Source organism: Homo sapiens, chromosome 1 (genome assembly GCF_000001405.40).
Source record: "Homo sapiens chromosome 1, GRCh38.p14 Primary Assembly".
In the NCBI taxonomy this organism is placed as follows: Eukaryota; Metazoa; Chordata; class Mammalia; order Primates; family Hominidae; genus Homo; species Homo sapiens.
Genome location: NC_000001.11, coordinates 14888740 through 14913254, shown reverse-complemented (window position 1 = coordinate 14913254; position 24515 = coordinate 14888740). Strand labels below are relative to the sequence as shown.

The following is a 24515-nucleotide window of genomic DNA, read 5'->3' as shown; positions in this document are numbered from 1 at the left end:
GGTACTCAGGGAGTCCTGGGGTAAAGTACAACCCCAAGAGCCGCTGGGTGAGCCTAATCCCAACTCCCCCTGAAACACAAGGCATGGGCAGGGGTTTAAACTTGCTCTGTGCCCACAGTGCCAGGCGCACCACAAGCACACACTCCTAAAGATTCTCAAGTCTAGCTCGGGGCCTCCCAGTTGCCCGTGCCAACCTTAACAAGCTCCTTCCATCACTCCAGCCCCTCCGCATCTTGCCAAGTGTCTCAGGTCTTAGGAAAGAACAATAGCTACCATTTACTGTGGGCCAGTCAGTATGACTGGCATTGGCTCGTTTCATCCCCCACCTGCCCTATGAGAGAAGGGCTTTGTTCTTATACCCATTTTAAAACGGAGTAAACCGAGGGTAAAAGAGAGAAGTAGGACTTGCATTCTGGTGGCCCTTGGAGCCGCATCTGGCCTGTGAATGTGGTTTCTTTTTTTAGTACTCCAGTAAAAAAATTTTTTTAAACCGGATGCCAACATTTTAACATTAGGATAACTTACACCAAAAGTTCAGATTTTTAGTTTCCACCTGGCCTTTTTGAAAAAATTAGGCTGGGCATGGTGGTTCACATCTATAATCCCAGCACTTTGGGAGGCCAAGGCAGGAGGATTGCTTGAGCCCCGGAGTTGGAGACCAGCCTGGGCAACATGGTGAAACCCTGTCTCTACAAAAAATATGAAAATTAGCTGGGCATGGTGGCGTGCACCTGTAATTTCAGCTACTCGGGAGGCTGAGGTGGGAGGGAGGTATTATCAAACCCCCATTCCATCCCACATGGTGACAGCGTATCCTCTCATCCCCCACTGTGGTAGGTCCCCTCCACTCCCTACTGTCTTACTTCTGGCTACCTTACCCAGGTATGTGACCTCCCTGGCTGCTCCAGGCACAATTAGTGAAAGGCAATGTCCTGGGTCTGTCCATCTTTCTGTCTGTTATCTCACCAGTCCCCACTACTGGGAGACCCCAATGTGGCAGATTAGAAGGAGCACTGGACGGGGAGTCAGGAGATGTGGATGCTTGTTCTGTTGGCTGGGTGGCCCTGGGAAGACCCTTTTCCTTTCCTTTTTTTTTTTTTTTTTTTTTTTGAGGTGGAGTCTCTCTCTGTTACCCAGGCTGGAGTGCAGTTGTGTGATCACTGCAACCTCTGCCTCCCAGGTTCAAGTGATTCTCCTGCCTCAGCCTCCCAAGTAGCTGGGATTACAGGTGCCCGTCACCACACCCAGCTATTTTTTGTATTTTTAGTAGAGATAACGTGCCATCATATTGGACAGGCTGGTCTCAAACTCCTGACCTCAGGTGATCTACCTGCCTCGGCCTCCCAAAGTGCTGGATTACAGGCGTGAGCCACCGTGCCTGGCCGAGGCTTTTCCCTTTCATGGCTTCAGTTTTCCCATGTATAAATTAGGGTCTTAGATAGAACAATCTTCCAGAGCCCATCTACTCCTATCATCTCCAGCAAGACTCCTCCCAGCTGCAGAGCCCACTGGGAAACTGTCCTAGGGATTCCAGACCAGTCAGGTACAGGCTTGCCCACTGAGCCATCCTGTGGCCCTGGGCACCTCCTAGCTAGGGAACCGTTCCAGAGCTGCACCATCAGTGCCAGCAGGGGCCAAGGGTGTGGGCTCTCCCAGTGACAGGGTGTGGGTTCCATACCTGAAGCAGCTTCCGGCGCCTAATGACCTCATTGCACAGAGGAGGAGTCCATCAGGGACCACCCAAACTTCCCACTCGGAAATGCAGGATGCCGGAGCTGGGAGGTGGAGCCAGCGTTTCCCTGCCCAGGTCAGTCTAAGGACAAGGATGCCCCCTGGGCACTGGGCAAGCTAGCTGGGGCCCTGGACTGCCAACAGGAAGTGCTCGCTCTTTCAAGTCCCAGGGACATAGAGAGCATGAATTCAATCTCACTTCTCTTTCATCATCCTACAAACATTCAACAGAGGGAGAAACTGAAGCCTAGAGAGGGAACGTGATTGCTTAGGCCCACAGCAAATCAGTACAGAGCTGGGCAAGGGTTCAGGCTTCCTGACCTCTGTCCTGGGGTGTTTCCTATATTCTCTCTCCCTCGGAATTTAGAACCTTTCATTTCTTGGCATTGGACCTCAGAAGGGACTTGAAGTGGCCAACATGGGCAGGGCCTGTCTGTCTGGTTCAGAGGCCTGGCATGGAGCTTGTTCACGGTGCCTCAGATTCAAACTGCTGCACTGTGCGGGCTCAGGAGTGGTGTGAGCTGCCCATGCCTCCGGGATGGAAGCTTGGTCTATAGGAAAGGTTGCAAAACTTGCAGCCAGTAGCCCACATTTGGCTCACAGACATATTTTGTTTTTCCCACAGTGTTTTTTTAAACAATTCACATTAGTTGCCGACATTTAAGAATCAGAAAATTTCACTTAAAAGATAGGATTTCTGACTTTTCTTGAAAGCCTTGGGATCCACCAAAAGGTGGACCACAATTTCTGCCTGGCCACGACTGGCAGGAGCTAGGTAAGCCCCCTCTTGCTCAGCATGCCGGCCATCTTCACTGTTTCTGGGATCTCTTGTATGTAGGTTTGGGGATTTTGAGCCCTCCTCTGCAGCGTCTCTGTGCTGGAGCCATAGTTCCTCCCTTCCTGGTTATCCTGGGCAAAACTCCAGATAGCAGTGGTTTGCAACCAGAGGGCAATTTTGCCCCCCACACCTAGGAAACATTTGGCATATCTGGAGACATTTTTTTGGTCACACTGGGGAGGTGGGGACTGCTCCTGGCATCTAGTGGGTGCACAGAATGACCTCCTACAGCAAAGAATTATCTGGTGTCAAGAGTCAGCAGTGTTGAGGGTGAGAAACCCTGGGCTGAATCAAGAGACACCAAGGGCCCCAGGCCAGGAACCGGATCCTGAGACGGAGGAGTTGGTAGGGCACCCACATGGGGGAAGGCCCAGCCCTGCACATCAAGTCCTTTTCTGTCATTGTGATGGATATGGAGCGCTCACTCGCACTCCTGGGAAAACAGATCTCATGACAGCCACTCATGGCTAAAGGTCAGGAATGAATGTTAGGAGGGAGAAGAGCAGCCAGTCAGGAGATCCACAGGCCACAGATATCCCAGAGCCTTCTGGAGAGCCAGGGGCTAATTGGTTGTAATTAGGGCAGGGCCAGGCATTCATTCATTCATTCATTCATTCATTCATTATTTATTTATTGAGACAAGGTCTTACTCTGTCGCCCAAGCAGGAAGTGCAACAGTGTCTCGGCTCACTATAACCTCCGCCTCCCAGGTGCAAGCGATTCTCTTGTCTCAGCCTCCCGAGTAGCTGGGACTACAAGCACACGCCACCGTGCCTGGCTAACTTTTGTACTTTTAGTAGAGATGGGGTTTCGCCATGTTGCCCACGCTGATCTCGAACTCCTGAACTCCTGAGCTCAGGTGATCCGCCTGCCTCAGCTTCCCAAAGTGATGGTTAAACAGGCATAAGCACCAAGCCTGGCCATCATGCATTTATGAAAGCACCAACTGCATACAAAGCACTGTGGTTGGAAGGATGGGAGAAAGTCAAGTTGTCCACAACATGGCCCTGGCCCGCCAGGTGCTCTGGAGGTGGCCAGTTGAAGAGCAGGGCACTCTGGGGTGCACTGCAGAGTCTCTGGGGCAAGAGTGTTATTTGGCCCTGGCTTTGAAAGATGCAATCTAGATCAGCAGAGATGGGCAGGTGGGCACTGTGGGCAGAGGAAACGGCCTAACTCTGGAGGCAGTAACAGACTCAGGCACACAGCCAAGATGAGATGTTACGAGTTAGGTGGGAGGAAATTGGTGGGAGGCAGAGGGGCCTGATGTCGGAGGCGGAGATTGCAGCACACTGTTAAGGGGTCTCCAAGACAAGCTAAGTGGAGAGAGAGGGCAGAGGCCATGGGGAATCCTTGCCAAGATAGTAGAGTATAGTTAACTGTGTGAGCCTGAAGAAGGCACTTAAATGCTCAGAGCCTCACTTTCCCCATCTGTTCAATGGGGATCAGTAAGAATAATAACTCTCATGTATAGCGCTTACCATGTGCCGCCAAACCCTATGGGATATATTTAATTATCACTGCAACTCTACGAAAGTATATACTATTACTGTTTTATGTCCTTTTTATGGAAGAGGAAACTTCGGGATATGGGTAGGAAAATCCCTTTTAATGTTCCCGAGGACACTGCTGTTGAGATGATGTGAGATGATGACGGTATCTGGACCAGGTGTTCTGGCTCCAGTCCACATGCTCTTTTTTTTTTTGAGATGGAGTCTCGCCCTGTCACCCAGGCTGGAATGCAGTGGTGTGATCTCAGCTCACTGCAACCTCAGCCTCCCAAGTAGCTGGGATTACAGGCGCCTGCCACCACACCTGGCTAATTTTTGCATATTTAGTAGAGATGGGGTTTCACCATGTTGACCAGGGTGGTCTTGAATTCCTGACCTCACGTGACCTACCTGCCTCGGCCTCTCAAAGTGCTGGGATTACAGGCGTGAGCCACCATGCCCGGACCCACATGTTCTTTTTGAGCCAGGGTCTGGTCTCTGTCACCCAGACTGGAGAGGAGTGGCATGAATAGGGTTCACTGCAGCCTCAACCTCCCAGCCTCAAGCAATCCTCCCACCTCAGCCTCCTGAGTAGCTGGGAGTCACATGCCTCCACACCCAGGTAATTTTTCTTCTTGTTTCTTTCTTTTTGTTTTTGAAACAGGGTTTCACTCTGTCGCTCAGACTGGAGTGCAGTGGCGTGATCTCAGCTCACCGCAACCTCTGCCTTCCAGGCTCAAGCGATTCTCCTGCCTCAGCCTCCCGAGGAGCTGGGATTACAGGCCCCTGCCACTACTGCCTGGTTAATGTTTGTATTTTTAGTAGAGATGAGGTTTCACCATGTTGGCCAGGCTCATCTTGAACTCCTGACCTCAAATGATCCACCTGCCTCAGCCTCCCAAAGTGCTGGGATTACAGGCATGAGCCACTGTGCCCAGCCAATTTTTCTTATTTTTATTTTTTGTACAGATAGGGGTCTTGCTATGTTGCCCAGGCTGGTCTTGAACTCCTGGCCTCAAGCGATCCTCCTGCCTCAGCCTCCCAAAGTGCTGGCATTACAGGTGTGAGCCACCGTGCCGCTGACCCTACATGCTTTTGATGGCTCTGCTCTTCATCCTCTCTAGAACCGCCTCTTGGCTTGTCCTCAAGAATACACAAAGGAAAGTAGGTGAAGTGCCCGGCATGATGCTGGCACAGAGTTAGTGCTCAGAAGCTATGACCTATCTCATGGAGCCCCAGTCTGGGTTGGCATAGCAAAGTCCAACTCATGGCCCTAATGAAACAGGGAGCCAGGGATTTTCCCTCGTGGGCTCATGGGCTCTGGGGAGAGAAGGGTTGGAGGAGGGGTGCCCTTCCACTGGGATGAGAGCTGAGCGGGGATCCACCTCCCACTTGCCTTTCCTGAGACCCCAATTGCCATCCCCCATCATGCTCCTTCAACAGCTCCATGACTTTCCTTACTCTGTCCACCCCCCTGCCAGGAATATTCTCCTTTCCATCTTCATGAAACCCTTCTTTCTTTTCCTTCTAACCCAGCTCAGAGGAGACTTCTTTCCGGAAGCAGCTCAGGACATGCCCGGGCAGAGTCATCATGCCCTCGTCTTTGTACCCTGAGCTTTTTGCAAACTCAATTGGCCCTCTTAGGCATCCAAGGGTCTTCGGGCACTATTTCAGAAGGCGTCTCAAGCTCTACTGAACACAATCATCTCCTGGAGATCTTGTTAAAATGCAGATTCTGATGCCTGAGGTCTGGGGTGGGGTCTGAGATTCTGCACTTTTTGTTTTTTTTTTTTTTTTGAGACAGGGTCTCACTCTGTTGCTCAGGCTGGAGTGCAGTGGTGCAATCGCAGCTCACTGCAACCTCCATCTCCTGGGTTCAAGCAATCTTCCCACCGCAGCCTCCTGAGTAGCTGGGACTACAAGCGTGCACCACCATGCCCTGCTAATTGTTTTTGTATTTTTTTTGGTAGAGATGGGGTTTCACCATGTTGCACAGGCTGGTCTCGAACTCCTGACCTCAAGTGATCCACCAGCCTCGGCCTCCCAAAGTGCTGGGATTACAGGTATGAGCCACTGCATCTAGCTTCTAATAATCGTACAAATAAGTTTATTAGAAGTGCACTTGCACTTCTAATAAACTCCGAGGAGTTGCTGATGCTGCTGGTCTTGGTCCACTCTTGAGTACCCGCCACCATGCCCTGAGTAGCGAGGTCAGAGGACACATCCTGGGGGTCATTCTTCCCCCAGGGACAAAACACTGCTCCAGTGCAAAAGCTTCTTTGTACTCATCTCAGCATTTGTAAATCTCAGCCCTAGGGAACAAGGCGGGGAGCGGGTGTGGACCCAACAGAATTCATCAGAGGGCCCGCCAAATTGAATAATTTGACCCACATCTTCTGTGTAGCCTGGGGGTGGTTTTTTTCCCCCACCTCCCCTCAATGATAAGTATCTAGGATGGCCAGCTTGATCTCTAGAAAAATATGGGACCATAGATAAGGTGGTGAAACAATGTTATTTTTTAATCCTGAAACTAACTTGCTTATTTCAACAGATCATTTGTGCTTTTCTAAAAAATTCCCTTTATATGTTTTGTGATATTGAAAAAATATCAACGTGCCCCTTTTACACATTTTCTTTTTATGGGGCAGAAAGTAAAATAAACTTTACAGTGAACTCGCTCCGCATGAGGCTGCGTCCCCAAGTCACAGCCACACCTCAGCTCGATTCCCAGGCTAACTTCCTCTCATGACCCAGCAAGCTCCTGTTCCATGCCCGCCACCAAGTCAAGGAATGAGAATGAGTTTTAACATTCATTTAAGCAACTCCACGTGATTTTTGGAAAGGTCACCCTGTTCAGGCAAGAGAGGGCGAGAAAGAAAACACCTAGCATACTTTGAGGGCAACCATGTGGACTGTGAAATTGTCTGCTGTTCACATCCAAGTTCCTCTGGGGAGTTCACAGGCTGGATCCATGTGCTGTATTATTATTATTATTATTATTATTATTATTATTATTATTATAATATATTTTTTGAGATGGAGTCTCGATCTGTGGCCAGGTTGGAGTGCAGTGGCATGATCTTGGCTCACTGCAAGCCCCGCCTACCGGGTTCAAGTGATTTTCCTGCCTCAGCTTCCCGAGTAGCTGGGATTACAGGCATGTGCCACCATACCCAGCTAATTTTTGTATTTTTAGTAGAGACGGGGTCTCACCGTGTTGGCCAGGATGGCCTCGATCTCCTGACCTCGTGATCCGCCCTCCTTGGCCTCCCAAAGTGCTGTGATTACAGGCATGAGCCACCGTGTCCGGCCTGTGCTGTATCATTATTATTATTATTATTATTATTATTATTTTTGAGACGGAGTCTCACAGTCTCGCCCAGGCTGGAGTGCAGTGGTGCCATCTCGGCTCACTGCAAGCTCCCCTCCCATGTTCACGCCATTCTCCTGCCTCAGCCTCCCGAGTAGCCGGGATTACAGGCACGTGCCACCATGCCCAGCTAATTTTTGTATTTTTGGTAGAGACGGGTTTTCACCATGTTGGCCAGGATGGTCTCGATCTCCTGACCTTGTGATCCGCCCTCCTCAGCCTCCCAAAGTGCTGGGATTATAGGCGTGAGCCACTGCACCCAGCCTGTGCTGTATTATTTTTACTGAACTATTTGCATGAAATATTTGGTTCATCCTCATTACTGTTTGGTTAGGAGACCTTGGGAGGATGTGCCAGATGCAGGCCTGGGGGACCTTTTTCCAGTGCAGGCCTTTGTGACTGCGTCCCATTTGCAGGTGGCAGCAAGACAAGCCAGCAGGAGTTTTTCTAGCCCAAGAGCATTTCCTGTCCAGGCGCAGTAGATCACGCCTGTTATTCCAGCACTTTGGCAGCAGAAGCAGGCAGATAGATCACTTGAGGCCAGGAGTTTGAGACCAGCCTGGCCATTATGGTGAAACCCCATTTCTACTCAAAATACAAAACATTAGCCAAGCATGTGGTGTGTGCCTGTAGTCCCAGCTACTCAGGAGGCTGAGACAGGAGAATTGCTTGAACCCAGAAGGCAGAGGTTGCAGGGAGCCAAGATCACGCCACTGCACTCCAGCCTGGGCGAAGGAGCGAGACTCTGTCTCAAAAAAACAAAAACAAGGCTGGGCATGGTGGCTCACGCCTGTAATCCCAGCACTTTGGGAGGCCGAGGTGGGCGGATCACGAGGTCAGGAGATTGAGACCATCCTGGCTAACACCGTGAAACCCCATCTCTACTAAAAATACAAAAAATTAGCCAGGTGTGGTGGCCAGCGCCTGTAGTTCCAGCTACTTGGGAGGCGGAGGCAGGAGAATGGTGTGAACCCGAGTGGCGGAGCTTGCAGTGAGTGGAGATCGCACCACTGCATCCCAGCCTGGGTGACACAGCGAGACTCCATCTCAAAAAAACAAAAACAAAAACAGAAACAAAAACACCAAAGTGCATTTCCTGCCCCACAGAGAAGAGCAGGCTTTGGGGCCAGTGGCACATGGAGGAAGATGCCGTTATTCCAGATGGGTGGGAAATGACTCAGTTTGTACCTGGTGGTGAGACCTGAGCACTGGCTTCTCTAGTCGGGAATCTGACATGTGGCGCACGGGCCTGTCTGTGCTGCTGCCTGGAGTGCGTGCAGACATCTGCAGTGGCACATACAGGGGGACGTCCCGCATCTTACAAGCTGACGTCCATGTGGCAGCTGGGGTGTCTCTTGTTTGGAACTGGGTAGCAAAGCTGTACCTGCAGCTAGAACTCAGCATTGCAACAAGCATTTATTAGGCATCTACCATGTGCCAGATTTTTATAGGCGTTGGTCTCCTCTAATTCACAATCCAAACCCTGCAAAGTGAGGCAATTCTTTTTTTTTTTTTTTTTCTTTTGAGACGGAGTCTCGCTCTTTCGCCCAGGCCGGACTGCAGTGGCGCTATCTCGGCTCACTGCAAACTCCGCCTCCCAAGTGAGGCAATTCTTAAACCCATTGCATGAATAAGGAAAATTGAGGCACGTGGGAAGGAAAGAATTTCCATAACAGGCCATACAACTAGGAAGTGGCTGAGCTGAGGTTGGAACGTGAGTCTGCTAACTCAAGACTGAGCCTCTAGGCCAACTAGCTAATCAGGTGACTAACCAACCCGTTGACCAGTGAACGTCCCCTGGTCTACACATTCACTGGCTGCCTGCTGGTGCCAGGCACTGGAAGCAAGGGGAGATTAAGACAGAATGCTGCCCTCGCTGTCTGGCCTTCCGCAGTCTGCTTCTCATCCTGGGGCTTTATTTGTCTCCTCTGCAAAATGGAACAATCATGCTGCTCCCTTATAGGGTTAAGTGAGCAAATACATGTAAAAGCACTTAGAACACCATCTGCCAGAGTTAGCATTCAATACATGTAACCTACTAAGGTTAGATTAATGGGATCGCGACTTTAAAAATTAAATTGTGGTCTCTATTATGTTTTAAAATTGATTTTAAAGCAAGGCCACTCTTTGCAAAGCCTGTACCCAGGGATGGTGGAGAGTGTGGTGAGCTTGTCTTTCATTACAGCAAATAGATTCTCACATCATCCCTATCTTTAGCCACAAGGAAACAACAAAGCAGACCCCGGCCTTACATTCTCGGCCTCCTCTGCCCATCTGGCAAATGTACTAAGGAGGAGGGGTCCAGCCCTCTCCCCGGATCCTCTGAGTGCCCAATGGCAAAGTGTGCCCCCTCTGGCTAAAGGAAGAGTACCCCAGGACAGAGGGAAGTGGCACAGATGGCCCGCTCTGCTGCCAGGGCCCCAGTGTGCCCACCTGAAAGGCTGGGACGAAAGTGAAATTGGCACTTGTGGCTGAGGCTTGACCGGCCCCAGGGACACTGCTCAAAGCGGGCCACTTCACAACCTCTTTCTTGAAACGTAGTTTGGGTCCTGTGTTTGGGTTTACAAGCATGGAGACGCTATCAGCAATTTTTTTCTTGCCTTCCCTATACTTGGCATCCTAAGTGGGTGATCAGAGAGACCACCACAGAAATAAGAGGCGGCCAGGTGTGGTGGCTCACACCTGTAATCCCAGCACTGTGGGAGGTGGAGGCGGGTGGATCACTTGAGGTCAGGAGTTTGAGACCAGCCTGGCCAACATGGTGAAACTCCATCTCTACTAAAAATACAAAAATTAGCTGGGCGTGGTGGCAGGTGCCTGTAATTCCAGCTACTTCAGGAGGCTGAGGCAGGAGAATTGCTTGAACCTGGGAGGTGGAGGTTGCAGTGACCCAAGATCATGACATGCACTCCAGCTTGGGTGACAAGAGCAAAACTCCATCTTAAAAAAAAAAAAAAAGGAAAGGAAGGAGGAACAAAAGATTATTTATACTATGTGTCTACAAGGACAATTGCCTCAATTTTCTAAATCCTCCCTCCCCTCAAAAAGCAGGACATTCACTGCTCAGAGGGCCTACCTGTCCACCTGTCCACACCTTTTATTCTGGGTGGGCAGCCCTGGCAGCTCCCACCCCTCTCACTGAGTTTGGTACCAGAACTTTTGCTGTATTCACATGGACTTAATGATGCCACTTTCCAAAATGTCTGTAAAGCTGGTAAAAGGAACTGTATTTTTCTGGCTCTAGCTGAATATTAGCCTCCCCTTGGAAACACCATGGAAGATTTAAAAAAATTGCAGTTCTGGCTGGGCGCGGTGGCTCACGCCTGTAATTCTAGCACTTTGGGAGGCCGAGGCAGGTGGATCACGAGGTCAGGAGATCAAGACCATCCTGGCTAACACGGTGAAACCCCGTCTCTACTAAAAAAATACAAAAAAATTAGCCGGGTGTGGTGGCGGGTGCCTATAGTCCCAGCTACTCAGGAAGCTGAGGCAGGAGAATGGCGTGAACCCGGGAGGCGGAGCTTGCTGTGAGCCGAGATCGAGCCACTGCACTCCAGCCTGGGTGACAGAGCGAGACTCCATCTTAAAAAAAAAAAAAAAATTGCAGTTCTCAGAACTTCGGATTTTCTAGTCTATAAATTTATGTCCATCAAAGCATGTCTTAAATCCTCATCTGCTCCCAGCACCCTTGCATAAGCAGCGTTTTCAAGTGCGTGCACGGAACTGTGTTAGCACGGGACTCCTGGGGGCCTCCCACCTCGCTAGGTGCCTGTGTCTTTAACGTGCCCGGTGGGTTGGCCATCTCTGTGTCTGCATACACATCTGCATAAGTTGCCTTTACCAGTTTTATTAGCAGAAATTGCCTGCCACTGCTGGAGGCCCTTGCAGCACTCAAGAGAGGTGGCTTCAGGACCACCTCCTGAGAGCTTCGTTGTATTTCATGTATATTTCCCCAAATATATCAGCATCTGACCCTTGGCTTCTGGGAGAAAGACAGAGGCGGAACCCTGGCCGCCCCAGAGAGAGGCAGCTGTGGGGGCAGAGATGTAACAACCCTTTGAACCTTGACCTTGGACGCCAGGCTGTCCGGGAGCTTCTCCCACAATGGCTGTTTTGGGGATGTGACCTGGATGGACCCATCTGCTAGCAAATCCTGTCTGTTTTACCTCCAAAAAGTATCTGGAATTCCAGGGCTTCTCACCACCTCAACTGCTGCCACCCTCGTCTGAGCTGCCATTATCTCTCCCCTGGACGATCACAGCAGCCTCCTGCTGGCCTCTCCACCCCCATCTGACTCCCTGCCCATTCTCCACCCAACAGCCAGACTTATCAGCACTCAGACCATGTGACTCCCCTGCCTGGGGTCCTCCACTGGCTTCCCATTGCTCGGTGGATAAAATCTGAACTCCTGGATGTGGCATAAACAGCATCATCTGTCCCCTGCCTCCCACCACCCCTACTCCATCCTTTCTTATTTTCGATTTCACTCACTCATCTCCACTGGGCTTCTTGTTATCCCGTAACTAAGCTAAGCTGCTTCCCACCTTGGGGACTTGTCACCTGCTGCACCTTCTACCTGGAGAGCTCTTTCCCCGTCCGACAGATGCCATTCAGGTCTACGTCAGGTGCCAGCTCTCCAGGGGACCTTCCCCAGCACCTTCTCTGAAGCCTTCCCCCAGTTGTCCCCGACCAGTTTTTGTCATAGCACTGATGCTTCCCTGAGATCATTTGTTAAATGCTCACGGATGTCTCTCCCTACCACACAGTAAGCTCCCTGAGGACAGGGGCCATCTCTGTCCTGTTACCGCTGTATGATGGCCATTGGGACAGTGCCTGGCACAGAGTAAATGCTCATTTATTTGTTGGACAAATAAGTGTGCGGACAGAGAGTTTATGCAACATACCCAAGTGGGCATCATATCCAACCCTGGAATCACAGGGATCTGGGTAAGGAGACTTCATTCCCTGGACCAGCCATGCCAGCATCCCTCTCCTCCTGGTGACCACAGTAGTAGCTGCACCCACTTGCTAGGTCCTTTCTGTGGGTGAGATCATAGCTCTTTTTTTTTTTTTTTGAGATGGAGTCTTGCTCTGTCGCCCAGGCTGGAGTGCAGTGGCGCGATCTCGGCTCACTGCAACCTCTGCCTCCTGGGTTCTTGCCATTCTCCTGCCTCAGCCTCCCGAGTAGTTGGGACTACAGGTGCCTGCCACCACACCTGGCTAATTTTTTCTATTTTTTAGTAGAGACAGAGTTTCACCGTGTTAACCAGAATGGTCTCGATCTCCTGACCTCATGATCCACCCGCCTCGGCCTCCCAAAGTGCTGGGATTACAGGTGTGAGCCACTGCGCCCGGCCAACCATAGCTCTTTACAGGCATACGATCCTTCTGATGACCCTATGGGGTCATTACCACTCTTGTGCCCATTTTACAGATGGTGAAATGGAGGCACTGACTGGCTTCAACTCTGCAAATTGGCAGAGGTGACTGCACAGCCAGGGCTCTCACCCCTCTCTTGGCAAGCATCTGAAAAACACAAGACATCTCCCAGGGCAGCTTGAAAGCAGGGCTCCAGGCAGGTGATGATGGCTCCCTAAGAAGTAGTTCTGAGCGGGAATCAGAACATTGGCCCTGGGGTCTTTGAGGCTGTTCGCTTCTCTCAGCAGCTACCCCATCTTCACAAACCCCATGTCATAGCCATCGGGGTGAGCAGACAGCATTGAGCCCTGGGATACACAGGTCACCAGGTTCTGCCTCCTGGGCCATTCCAGGCCCTCCTGATGAACTTGGCCTGAGTCCCAAGGATCTGCTTTGAAAGCAGCCACAGGGCCGGAACGGGAAGAAGAATGCGGGACGACAGACATTACTTGAGAAGATGGAGGGGGTGGGCAGGAAGCAGGATTATGCGCCAGCTTTCATTGGCAGAGGAGAGAGGGCGATAGGAACCTGCCACTCTGAATGCCCAGAGCAAAAACGCAGAGTTACGAAGGGAGACTGAAATGAGGACAGTGCTTAAGACGGTTGCTCACATCCCCCGAGGGAGCGGAGGTGGCAGTGGCATCTTGGGTGCCTTACAGGAACCCATAGGGAGGGAAGGAGAGAGGAGTGGTGGACAGAGGGAGGAGGGAGCTAGGGAGGTGGGACCTGGGGAGGGGAATGGACAGGAGAGGAAAGATTTAAATCCGGGCCTCATGATCTTGGCTAGAATACTGCACTTTTCTTTCAACTTTCTTGGGACATTGATGTCTACCATACGGATAGGAAGTCAGATATGCAGACAAAATGTCTAACAGAGGCTTGGCATTTCTAGGTGCTCAGTAACCATTCCTTCCCTTTCTCTTTGCCTCCTAAATTTCGCATCTGGAAAAAGGAGTTTGAACCTGGGACAGGTTCATGGCTCAGACCCAAGTTCACAGGTCTCAGGTCCCGGCAGCAGCTATCTTAAAACCCTGGGAAAAGGTTTTACCCTATATCAGGTCAGAGGCTGAAGAGAGGTGAGGACAGTCTACAAAAGGGTAATGAGGGCCCAGAGGGGACACGTCACTGGGTGTGGCCATGCCCCAAAGTCTCCAGGCACCCTCATCCTCAGTTGGCAACTTGCCTTTCTGGTCATGCCAGTGAACTTGACTTAGCGGAACATTCCATCTTCCTGACCTTGGTACAGGGTTGTTGGGTCCCTGAGCCCTTCATTCAACACATCTGCTCAGGGGCCCCTTCTTATGACTCACAGGTGGTAGACTTGAGTCTCCAAGAGGGAACATGTCAAGTCCTGAATGACATAGTGATCTAGTGCAGAGATGGGACTAGAACCTGCATCTCCTGATCTCCACAGCAGAGCTGAGTCCCAAATCCAAATACATTGTCATTCACAGGCTTTTTGTGCCAGTCCTGGGAGCAAGGGGCAATCTGGAAGAGGTAATCGGGGTGCTGGCATATTGGCACTTCAGGGACATTTTGATGGTTTATAGGGACAAGGTAGAGGGCCATTCATTCAACCAGTAGCTACAGAGTGTGCTAGGAGCTATGCACTGAGCTAGGTGCTGGGGCGATAAGTCCCGCCCTCTTAGAGTCTTGAAATTGGGACTGTTCTGTAAGCTGTGCCACAGCACAGACAGTCTATCATGCCACTTACTAGTAACACTGTCCCTCCAGCCCTGCACCCCTTACCCTACTCTGTGTGTGTGTCCCTGTGTATGTGTGTGTACAAGCGAGGGCTCCAGATGTTCCCTGTAAGCTGGAGGTGCTGATTTGGGCCTGAAATTGCTTGCTCCTTCCAAGGCCCCCTTTGCTTTCTCTTGTCCTGCCCTGACTTCCTGATGTCATCCAGTTTTCAGCTTCCTGACCCCAACCCCTATCTGCTGACCAGACGTAGACACCAGATGCTTTGATTTGACCTTCTGGAGCCAGGACTGTATCTCGCTCTTGCCACACAGCCACTCCTGAGAAAGGACCACATTTCTGCTCTTCTGAGGAGCAGAACCGTCTCAGTGTTCCAGAGTTTGACAGTTCTGTTTCATCTTCCCCTCTGTTGAACACTGCCCCTGCTCTCCTTTCTGTGGCACTTATTATGGTATGTCTTTTCTTCCAGAGATGAACATTCAGTGAAATGATGTAGCAAGAATGGCATAATGGAATGTGCGTGGGTGGAAGGAACCTTGGGGAAAGGAGCTGAGAAGTTGGTTCATCTGGATAATGGATTCTCGCTTATAACTGTGCTCACCTGTGGTCCTTTCTCACCCCCGGGTACCATTTATTGAGCCCAGTGTTAGGTGCTTATATCCATCATTTCACTTAGTTCTTTCAAAAACCCTATGAAGTGGAAGCAATTATTATCCTTGTACTGGATACCATGGGTGTTTCCTCCATAGCTGCGCATCCCTTCCTGAACTGTAGCTGCCATGGAGTTCACAGAGTCTGATCCCAGACAGCTCCTGAGTGAGCCCCGGTTAGTTTCAGCAAGCGGTTCTGAGTGAGGTCTGCTGGGGTCCTGAGAGCCTTTCAGGAGGTCTGTGAGTCCCAGCTTCTTCCAACCACACATCTGCAGAAGGCTGGATTTTCTTCATATGCTACAAACCAAGATAACATATCACAACGGCCAGATTGCAGAAGCAGGTCTGAGAATCCTGCCATTTTCTGTGAAGCCAGACTTTCAAGGGATTTGCAAAAGTGTAAAAGCATGCCACTCTTTTCACTATTTTTTTTTTGCTTTGGAAAGTATCATTATTATTCATAAAATATGTTATTTATAGTAACATGTATAACGGGCTTACTATTGTTATTTTAAAGATGAATAAATATTTAATCTTTTACATTTTAATTTCTAAAATGTTAAGTATTGATAAATATAATTCACATAAACCAAAGCTTATTGGGGTCCTCTCTAATTTTTACAAGAGTAAAGGGGTTCTGGGAACAAAAGTCTGAGAACTGCTGGTTTAAGCCAATCATGATAATCCCATAATCCTTGCCAGTGATTGGTTCAGGAGTTCAGACCTAGGCCAATCAGCATGTGTCATTCTCTTGGTGACAGCAATTGGTTGGGGCATGGGCATGTGACCCAATTTGCACCAATGGGTGGAGTGGTTTGCTCTGAGCTGCTGGAGAAGTTCTTCCTGGGACTCTGGCTTATGCAACTCCTTCCCTTTCTTTGATATCACTGTGAACAAGTATAATGTTCAGAACTTCAGCCTGAGGATGAAGCTGACACCCAGAAGAGGGCAGAGCCAAAAGAATCACCAAGAAAGGAGATAGAGCCGTGATTAGGTCAACCTACATCTGCAAGTACAGTTCCTTGACCTAATAAACACCTTTGTTTTTTTATGCCAGCTGGGCTTGGGTGTTTAGTACTTACAGATGAAAACATTTAAATTGCTACTCTCCCCATTTTACAGATGAAGAAACTGAGGCCCAGAGAGTTTAAGTGAGTGCTAGTAAGTGGAAGAGTCAGAATCTAAACCCAGGTCTCTTTGCACCCCAAATCTTCCTTTTTGCAACTGATTTTATAGCTTACAAGAATGTTACATTCTTGCTCTTCCCTCTCTAGAACCCAGATCACAACAGATCACAAGAAACTGTCATGGGGTAGGGCAGCAGGGAGTGGAGCATTCTCACTCAGGAGTGTCTTCCAAAGTTCCTCTCTTGGCCCTAGAAAAGATGGGCTTTCTGTCCCACTGCTGGGAGTTTTGAGGCTGCCCTGGATTTGCCTGATACAGCCGCAGCCTGCTCCCCACCAGCAGAGATCCATTCTCTACTGATGAGTCATAAGGACAGGGTACCAGTTAGAGCTATTAGTTGCAAGCAACAGAAACCAATTCCAGCCAATTTAACCAAAAAAGTCCCATTTGTCTGGCTAGCACACACACATCTCCTGAAGGGTGAAAGAGCAAAGCTTGAAAAGTGTGAAACCCGAACTGATATTACAAATCAAGCCACTGCTCCTGGCCTCCTTCATCGTCTTTTAAAAAGGCATCTTTTTTGGCTGGGCGCAGTGGCTCACGCCTGTAATCCCAGTGCTTTGGGAGGCCGAGGCAGGCGGATCACGAGGTCAAGAGATTGAGACCATCCTGGCCAACATGGTGAAACCCTGTCTCTACTAAAAATACAGAAATTAGTTGGGCGTGGTGGTGTGTGCCTGTAGTCCCAGCTACTCGGGAGGCTGAGGCAGGAGAATCGCTTGAACCCGGGAAGCAGAGGTTGCAGTGAGCAGAGATTGCACCATTCCACTCCAGCCTAGCAACAGAGCAAGAATCTGTGTCCAAAAAAAAAAAAAAAAAAAAAAAAAAAAAAAGGCGTCTTTTTCATTTGTACTTACTGACCTTTGTCCTGGAATATCTTTACTTCAGATTGTTGCCTGGCCAACTTTTTCTTGTCATCCAAGTCTCAGCTAAAGTGTCACCTCCTCTGAGAAGCCCTCCTGACTACTTAAATGAAAGCAGCCTCCCCTCTTCCTCACTTTGTTTGCTTTTATTCTCTGTCCTCGGGTACCCTGAACTGACCTAACTATACACCTTGGGGAGACCAGTGAGGAGTCCAGGGCAGAGAACATGGTGGCTTGAACCAGGGAGAGGACGGAGCTTTCTGCTGCCAGGGATCACGGCCTGCATGATTATCTTTTGCAGAACTTAGCACAGGGTCACTCTATGATGAAGGGGCTGAAAAGACTTGGGACACAAGGCCTGCAATGAACTTTCAGAGGCCCCTAGCCCAAATTCCACCCTCCCGGAAGATGAGTTCCTTGCTGGGTTACGCATCAGCTGATGACAAGGTCATGGCCTGGCTCTTCTTGGCTGTCCCCTTCACTCCCAGACCCCTGATGTGATCCCAGGGGAAGGCTGCTGAGGGATGGGCTGTGGAGGCTTGGGCTGCTGAGACATGGGTGGGATTGGGCCGCTGTTAATGAGAGGGCCTGCTGATCTGGCGGCTTTGCTAATTAGGCTGCGACAGCTCCAGACTCAGCCAAGGAAAGCACGTTGCTTATGCTAATCAAGGGCGGTCTGCGTTTCCTGGCTGGCAGAGTTGCCCAGATCCTGCAGTGTGTGCCCAGCATGCAAGCCACGGCAGGGGAGAGCCAGGGGAACCAGGGCTGGGAAAAGCCAAAGACAGCCCCCATGGCTGCAGCTGAGATTCTGGGGCTGGCCATTGCCCCACGTTGGGGGAAAAAGGCATAAATGATGGGAATGGCCACCAGCCAGGTAGTGGGAGGACAAAGGGCAAAGCCAGGGAGGGGCCAGTTATAGGCACTTCCTACTCAGTCACCACAAGGCTCGCTTTCCAAAACTCAGCCTTGAGTGCTGCTGGGCAGAGCAGGCTGCATCATAATATTCATGGCCCTAGACTTGGTGCCTTCTGTGCCAAATGGCTAAGTATGCCCTGGGGCAGAGAGAAGCCTCTGGGGCAGCTGAGTCATGAGGCTGGCTGGACCGGCAAACCTACCTCCCTGGAGCAGGGAGGAGAGAGCTGCACTCTTCAGCCCAAATTAAAGATGCAGAAGATTTTGAATTGATTTCCCCGTCCTTGGTGTGATAGCACAGAATCTCAGACCCTGGAGAAATCTGCAAGGAGATTCATTCATTCATTCATTCATCCATTCACTTACTCAGCACCTACTGTGTACCCAATTCCAGGCACTGGGAATGCAGAGATGAATGATGCCATTCTCGGGTTCAAGAAGCTTAGAGTCTAGCAAGGACTGCGAATCAGCAATTAAGTGACCCTAACTCAGACTGAGAGGCCGGGAAGGCTCCAGGAGGAGGTGATGCTTGAGATGAGCTGGAAAGATGTGCCACATCGACAGTTAACGCCTGCAGGGCAAGTGTCACGTGCCATGAGGCACTCTACACCCTTGACGTCCCTAACACATTCAGTCTTCCCAGGGACCCTAACACAGTGAGGACTGTTACCATTTCCCCATTTCTGTAAATGGGGAAACTGAGGCACAAAGTGATTCAGAAATTTTTCTGGGATTGCACAGCTGATTGGGAGTGAGTTATAAAGCGGGAGTTAGTGAGCCAGGTGCTGAAGGAGGAGAAGGAACAGCAAATGGCAAAGCAGGGATGGAGGATGCAGGAGGAGCCATCTGTCGGGTCAGGCAGGCGAGGCTGCGGCAGAAACTGTAGGCTGGAGCGGGGGAGATGGGGGTGAGCTAGGGAGGGGAGATGGTGGCAGAGCTGGGCAGGGGAGATGGGCGTGATGGCAGGCAGGAGGTTTGCAATTAGATTCACGTACTGTGATGCTTTGAGTGGCAGCACCCTGGGCTCTGGTGGGTCAGAGAAGTGGATTTGGGGGACAGTTAGCTTGAAATCAGCAGCCAGAGGTCCCTAAGTGCTGATTAATTATACTCTTCATCAACTAGCACCTCCCTTTGTAGCTGGGTCTGGAGCCGGGCTCCGGCTGCCACATCAATATTTCAGATGTGTCTTCTTTTCGGCTAAAAATGAACTTGTCATTTGCACAAGTTTTGAGACGTCCCAGTAAGCAAGTCTGTCTGCTCCTGAGCTGGGGCAAGACTTTTATGTTCAGAGGGTGCCTCCCTTGTGAAAGGGACTTTTCAAATGATCCTTGTACCTTAAACATAGGCTGAAGCGGGCACAGATTGATTCTGCCCACTCTGACCTCTGACCCTTTGTGGCTTTCTGGCCTCAGGGTCTGAGACCAAGGGTGATACAAAACTCCAGACACAATATGGTCAGAAGGAGATTTTCCAATTCTCTCCTTCCCCAGCCTGTAGGGAGAGCAGTAGCAGTAAAGGCGAGGGGGCCATCAGTCAAGGTTAGGGTGTGGAGGAAGGGAAGATGGGGGTCTCAGCGAGCGCTCTTCCTCTCACTCATCTTTCAGCATCAGCAAGGGCTTTGCTCCCTGGAGAAGCCCCCGTGACCTACTTCTCTGAGCAGGTCAAAGGGCCATCTGCCTCTCCTGTGGAGCTCCTCTCCCAGGGGCCATTTCTATTTTCTTTTTCTTTTTTTTTGAAACAAAGTCTCGCTCTGTTGCCCAGGCTGGAGTGCAATGGTGCGATCTCTGCTCACTGAAACCTCTGCCTCCTGGGCTCCAGAGATTCTTCTGCCTCAGCCTCCCAAGTGGCTGGGATTACAGGCACGAGCCACCACGCCCAGCTACATTTCGCATTTTTAGTAGAGACAGGGTTTCACCATGTTGGTCTGGTTGGTCTCGAACTCCTGACCTCATGATCCACCTGCCTCGGCCTCCCAAAGTGCTGGGATTACAGGCATGAGCCACCACACTGGCCTCTATTTTCCTTTTAAAAATGATTATTTGACTTCCTCCTGTAGATCATCAGCCTTATGACAGTAGGGACCAGTCTAATCAGTCTAATTCTGTTCACTCTATCCTAGCACCTAGAATTGTGCCTGCTACGTAGTAGGTGCTTGTAAATATTTGTGGAGGACTGCATGAATGAGGAATAATCTTAGGAGACTGGTCCTTCCTCTGTCCATTCCTTTTTTCCTTTCTTCTGGAAGCTTTTGTGTGTGTGTGTGTAGGTATTGGAGATACAAGATGAGTGGGCTGGTTTGCCTGGGCCCAGGCCACCGGAGCCTGCAGGAGGCCCCCACAGCCCCGTGGCACAAGTGTCCTGGGCTCACCTGCCCAAGTCTGAGGACATGAACACACACCCCTATGAACCCTGAGCCATGGGCAGGGGTGGTGGGCAGTGATGCAGACAGAGGTCATTCGAAAGCTTGCTCTGGAGACACCTTCTGGGGTGTCTCTGCAACCTTCTAGCACTTTCCCTTCCACTCTGTCCTTTGCAGACCTTGTAGAAAAACCTGTGGGGTGGGCTCCCATGGGCTGTCAGGGGAGGGAGAAGCTCCATGGTGGTGTCTGGGGGGAAACAAGCCTGAGATTACAGGCCTTCAGATGATCCAGGGATTGTAGGATACAGAGAGAAAGAGAGACAGCAGGGGGGAGGGGGAAAAAGGAGAGAGAGAGGGAAAAAGAGAGAGAGATGCCTCTGAAAGACAGATGCCTCTCTTCCCATAATGAAGGCACAGGAGGGCATCTTGGGACCTGGGTCATCAGAGATGGCTGGAGGCGAGCCCCGGGGCAGGGACTGAACTCTCTTCTGCCAGGAGTGTTTTCTTCCTGGAGTTCTGAGAGAATTTAGTGTTTGTGGCAGGTGCTGGGCTGGGCTCCCTAGAGACCTTGAGACTCCATTTGGGCCAGGAATGGGAGCACAGATGACGGCAGGGTCACCATCCCATCTGGGCTCTGCCTGCTGCCTTGAGGAGGCATTTACTTCAGGGGTCTGCACCACACCAGAGGCCAGAGGCAGGAGGTAGGGACGGGGGCATGTTGAACTTTCCTGACACCTTCCAGTAGCTTCTGGGTCATAGCAACAGGCAGGGCCAGATGTAAGACTCCCTGACACCAAGAAGCCTCACATAATCAGAGCCGACTAACGGAGGCTCATGGACACGTCTTACTGCCCCATCCCACCCCCAACCATGGAAATAACTTCAGAGATTTCTTTTTCATTTTAGAAGAAATAGCTATTCATTGCATAAAATTCAAACAAGTTGGAGAAAGTACAAAGAAAAAAAAAGTATAAATCACCTGTAAAATCCCACTACCCCCGTTAATACTTTTTTGGCTTTTCTTCTCTCCTAAAGAAACATAATGACATAGAATTTTCCAGAAATCAGCATGACACAGGCTAACTTGCTTTTAGAAAAAACAATTCAACGGTATTCCATGGACATTTTCCCATGTAAATAAATACAGTGTTAAAGCAGTGGTCTTTAACTGCTTTAGCCCAGCACACACATGGGAAGTGCTGGGAAGCTTGTTAAAATACAGATTCCTTACTACTCAGCCATAAAAAGGAAAGTTAATGGCATTCGCAGCAACCTGGATGGGATTGGAGACTATTATTCTAAGTGAAGTAACTCAGGAATGGAAACCCAAACATTGTATGTTCTCACTCATAAGTGGGAGCTAAGCTATGAGGACGCAAAGGCATAAGAATGATACAATGGACTCTGGGGACTCAGGGTAAAGGGTGGGAAGGGGGTGAGGGATAAAAGACTACAAATTGGGTTCAGCGTATACTGCTATGGTGATGGGTGCACCAAAATCTCACAAATCACCACTAAAGAACGTACTCATGTAACCAGACACCGCCCGTTCCCCAAAAACCTATGGAAACAATAAATTTTTAGAAATACAGATTCCTGCCAGGCGCGGTGGCTCACACCTGTAATCCCAGCACTTTGGGAGGCCGAGGCGGGTGGATCACGAGGTCAGGAGATCGAGACCATCCTGGCTAACACGGTGAAACTCCATCTCTACTAAAAATACAAAAAAGTTAGCCGGGCGTGGTGACGGGTGCCTGTAGTCCCAGCTACTCTGGAGGCTGAGGCAGGAGAATGGCGTGAACCCGGGAGGCAGAGCTTGCAGTGAGCTGAGATCCGGCTACTGCACTCCAGCCTGGGCGACAGAGCGAGACTGCTTCAAAAAAAAAAAAAAAAAAAAAAAGTCCAGATTCCTGGCTGGGCACAGTGGCTCATACCTGTAATCCCAGCACTTTGGGAGGCTAAGGTGGGAGGATTACTTGAGCGTAGGAGTTTGAGACCTGCCTGGGCAACACGGCAAGACCCCAGCTCTAGATTAAAAAAAAATACAGATCTTTGGGTCCCATTCTGAGATTCATCAGTGGATCCGCCGTGGGGCCCGGAAGTCTGTATACTGAGAAAGCCCACAAGAGGACTCTGATTCACGCCCGTCATTCAGAATCCTGATCTATGGCCTGCCTTTAAAAATAACCTTCTCTATCTTTTTAAAAGGCGGGCAGAAAGGAAAAAAAAAAGATTTAAATTTGCTATCAGGAATTTTAAAAATGTTCAGCTTTTAGGGGATGTCACAGGTTTGACAGATTCAGTTTCTTTGTCCTATACTTTTTGCAGCGGGACGATGTCCCACTGGTGGGGACTGGTGCCCGGGAGATTCTGGGTCTGCGTGCCATTCTCGGGCAGTGGAGAGATTTCCCATCAGGAAAATGGGCTTTGCACACAGCTGAGAAACCTCTCCCCAGGGGCAATCCAGAAAGAGCTTTTTGTTCAATCTTCCATTAAAGAGAAATTTCAATTGCCTTGACCAGCCAGAGCATTCCAGCTGACCAGGCTTGACTTGCTTACCCAAAACCCAAACTCGCAGAGCAGGGAAGGGAAAGGCGACTGTTCAGCAAGTTCTGGGAAGCCCCCTCAGGGTCCCTGTGGTAAGCTTCCCGAATCATCTCCAACTGCATTCTGACCTGGGTCTAGGCTTCTCCCTAACTCTTCCTGTGTTCTGCAGGTTGACGACATAAAAAGCCCATTGTAACTCTTCAAGAGGCTGATGTTTGGCTCGAGCGTACGAGGTACTTCTTTTCACTGATGATACTACCCGACACAGTCTGCTAGTTGCCATATTTTGTCATGTAAGACAGGCTTTTTCTGCAAAGGGCCAGGAAGTAAATATTTTCAATGGTCTCTGTCCCAACTGCTCATAAATACATGGGCAAGGCTGTGATCCAGTAACATTTTATTTATGGACACTGCAGTTTGAATTTTGTATAAATTTCACATCGTGAAACATTCTTCTGATTTTTTTCAACCATTTAAAAGTGTACAAACATTCTTGGTTGGTGGGCTGGATTTGGCCTGTGGGCTGTAGTTTGCCAAGAGAAAGCTGGACAGGAATTAAGGAAGGAAGGGTAGGCAGGGGCAGACTTTTCCAGAATTAGAGCTGTACCCCAAGGGGGAATTCTGTCCTAGGAGACAGTGAGTGCTAAGTACACTCTGGACAAGCACCAGACACAGAAGCTGCCTCAGTTTGTGCTCCCCCTGCAAAGCAGAGCCTGAGACAAGGATTTGGGTACAAGGAGTTTCACTCAATATTATATTTCCAAGATGCACCCATGCTTTATATGGCTATAGTGCATCCATTTTACTGCTTTATACTTTCCATTAGGTGACTATATTAGTATATATTTATAATTCCTAGGTCTTTTTGTTCTCTTATTTGTTAATAATTATAAACTCCAAGCCCATTGTGGTAGATTGCTATTTCTCAGAGATATTTTCTGCTCCTTCCTGGGGGACAATAATACTTTTCTCCCATCAATGGCAGATGTGGGCTTGTGACATTTTCTGGTCAATGAAATGAGAACAGAATTGGTGTGTGTAACCTTTGAGCAGAAGCTTTTGCAAGCTTGTCTAACCCATGGCCCGCAGGCTGCATGCGGCCCGGAATGGCTCTGAATGCAGCCCAACACAAATTCGTAAACTTTCTTAAAACACTATGAGATGTTTTTGCGATTTTTAAAAACTCATTAGCTATCATTATTGTTAGTATATTTTATGTGTGGCCAAAGACAATTCTTCTTCCAATGTGGCCTAGGGGAGCCAAAAGATTGGACACCTCTGTATAGAGTCTGTGCGTGATTTGACTTATTTTCTCTTTACTCCAGCAATGTCCTAGATATAGGCTTCTGATCAGCCTGGGTCCTGGCGGGGAGATGACACCGAGCAGAGCCACCATTGAGCTGCACTGGATAATGTAGTATGAGTGAGAAATAAATCCTTGCTGTTGAAAGCTA

The 24515-nt window shown here is 49.7% G+C and overlaps 1 protein-coding gene and 1 long non-coding RNA gene across 12 annotated transcripts in view, besides 2 other annotated features; one reads left to right on the top strand and one right to left on the bottom strand.

Moving 5' to 3' along the window:
- Positions 1 to 24515, bottom strand: part of KAZN (kazrin, periplakin interacting protein) — a 1225220-nt gene that overhangs the window by 204789 nt on the left and 995916 nt on the right. The gene's annotated exons all lie outside the window — the stretch shown is intronic.
- Positions 1555 to 24515, top strand: LOC107985469 (uncharacterized). Its single transcript, XR_001737616.2, has 3 exons — positions 1555 to 1807; positions 23231 to 23294; positions 24387 to 24515. It is a non-coding gene; the product is annotated as an uncharacterized LOC107985469 (long non-coding RNA).
- Positions 5046 to 6245: an enhancer, noted in NCBI's record as "BRD4-independent group 4 enhancer chr1:15233506-15234705 (GRCh37/hg19 assembly coordinates)". NCBI's record gives its function as "activates an origin of replication core promoter dependent on BRD2, P300/CBP, MED14 and CDK7 cofactors, and independent of BRD4, by STARR-seq in HCT116 cells {active_cell/tissue: HCT116}" and the evidence as "EXISTENCE:reporter gene assay evidence [ECO:0000049][PMID:35650434]".
- Positions 18431 to 19431: an enhancer, noted in NCBI's record as "H3K27ac-H3K4me1 hESC enhancer chr1:15220320-15221320 (GRCh37/hg19 assembly coordinates)". NCBI's record gives its function as "activates a minimal SCP1, AML or CMV promoter by ChIP-STARR-seq in naive H9 embryonic stem cells {active_cell/tissue: H9 hESC(naive)}" and the evidence as "EXISTENCE:reporter gene assay evidence [ECO:0000049][PMID:30033119]".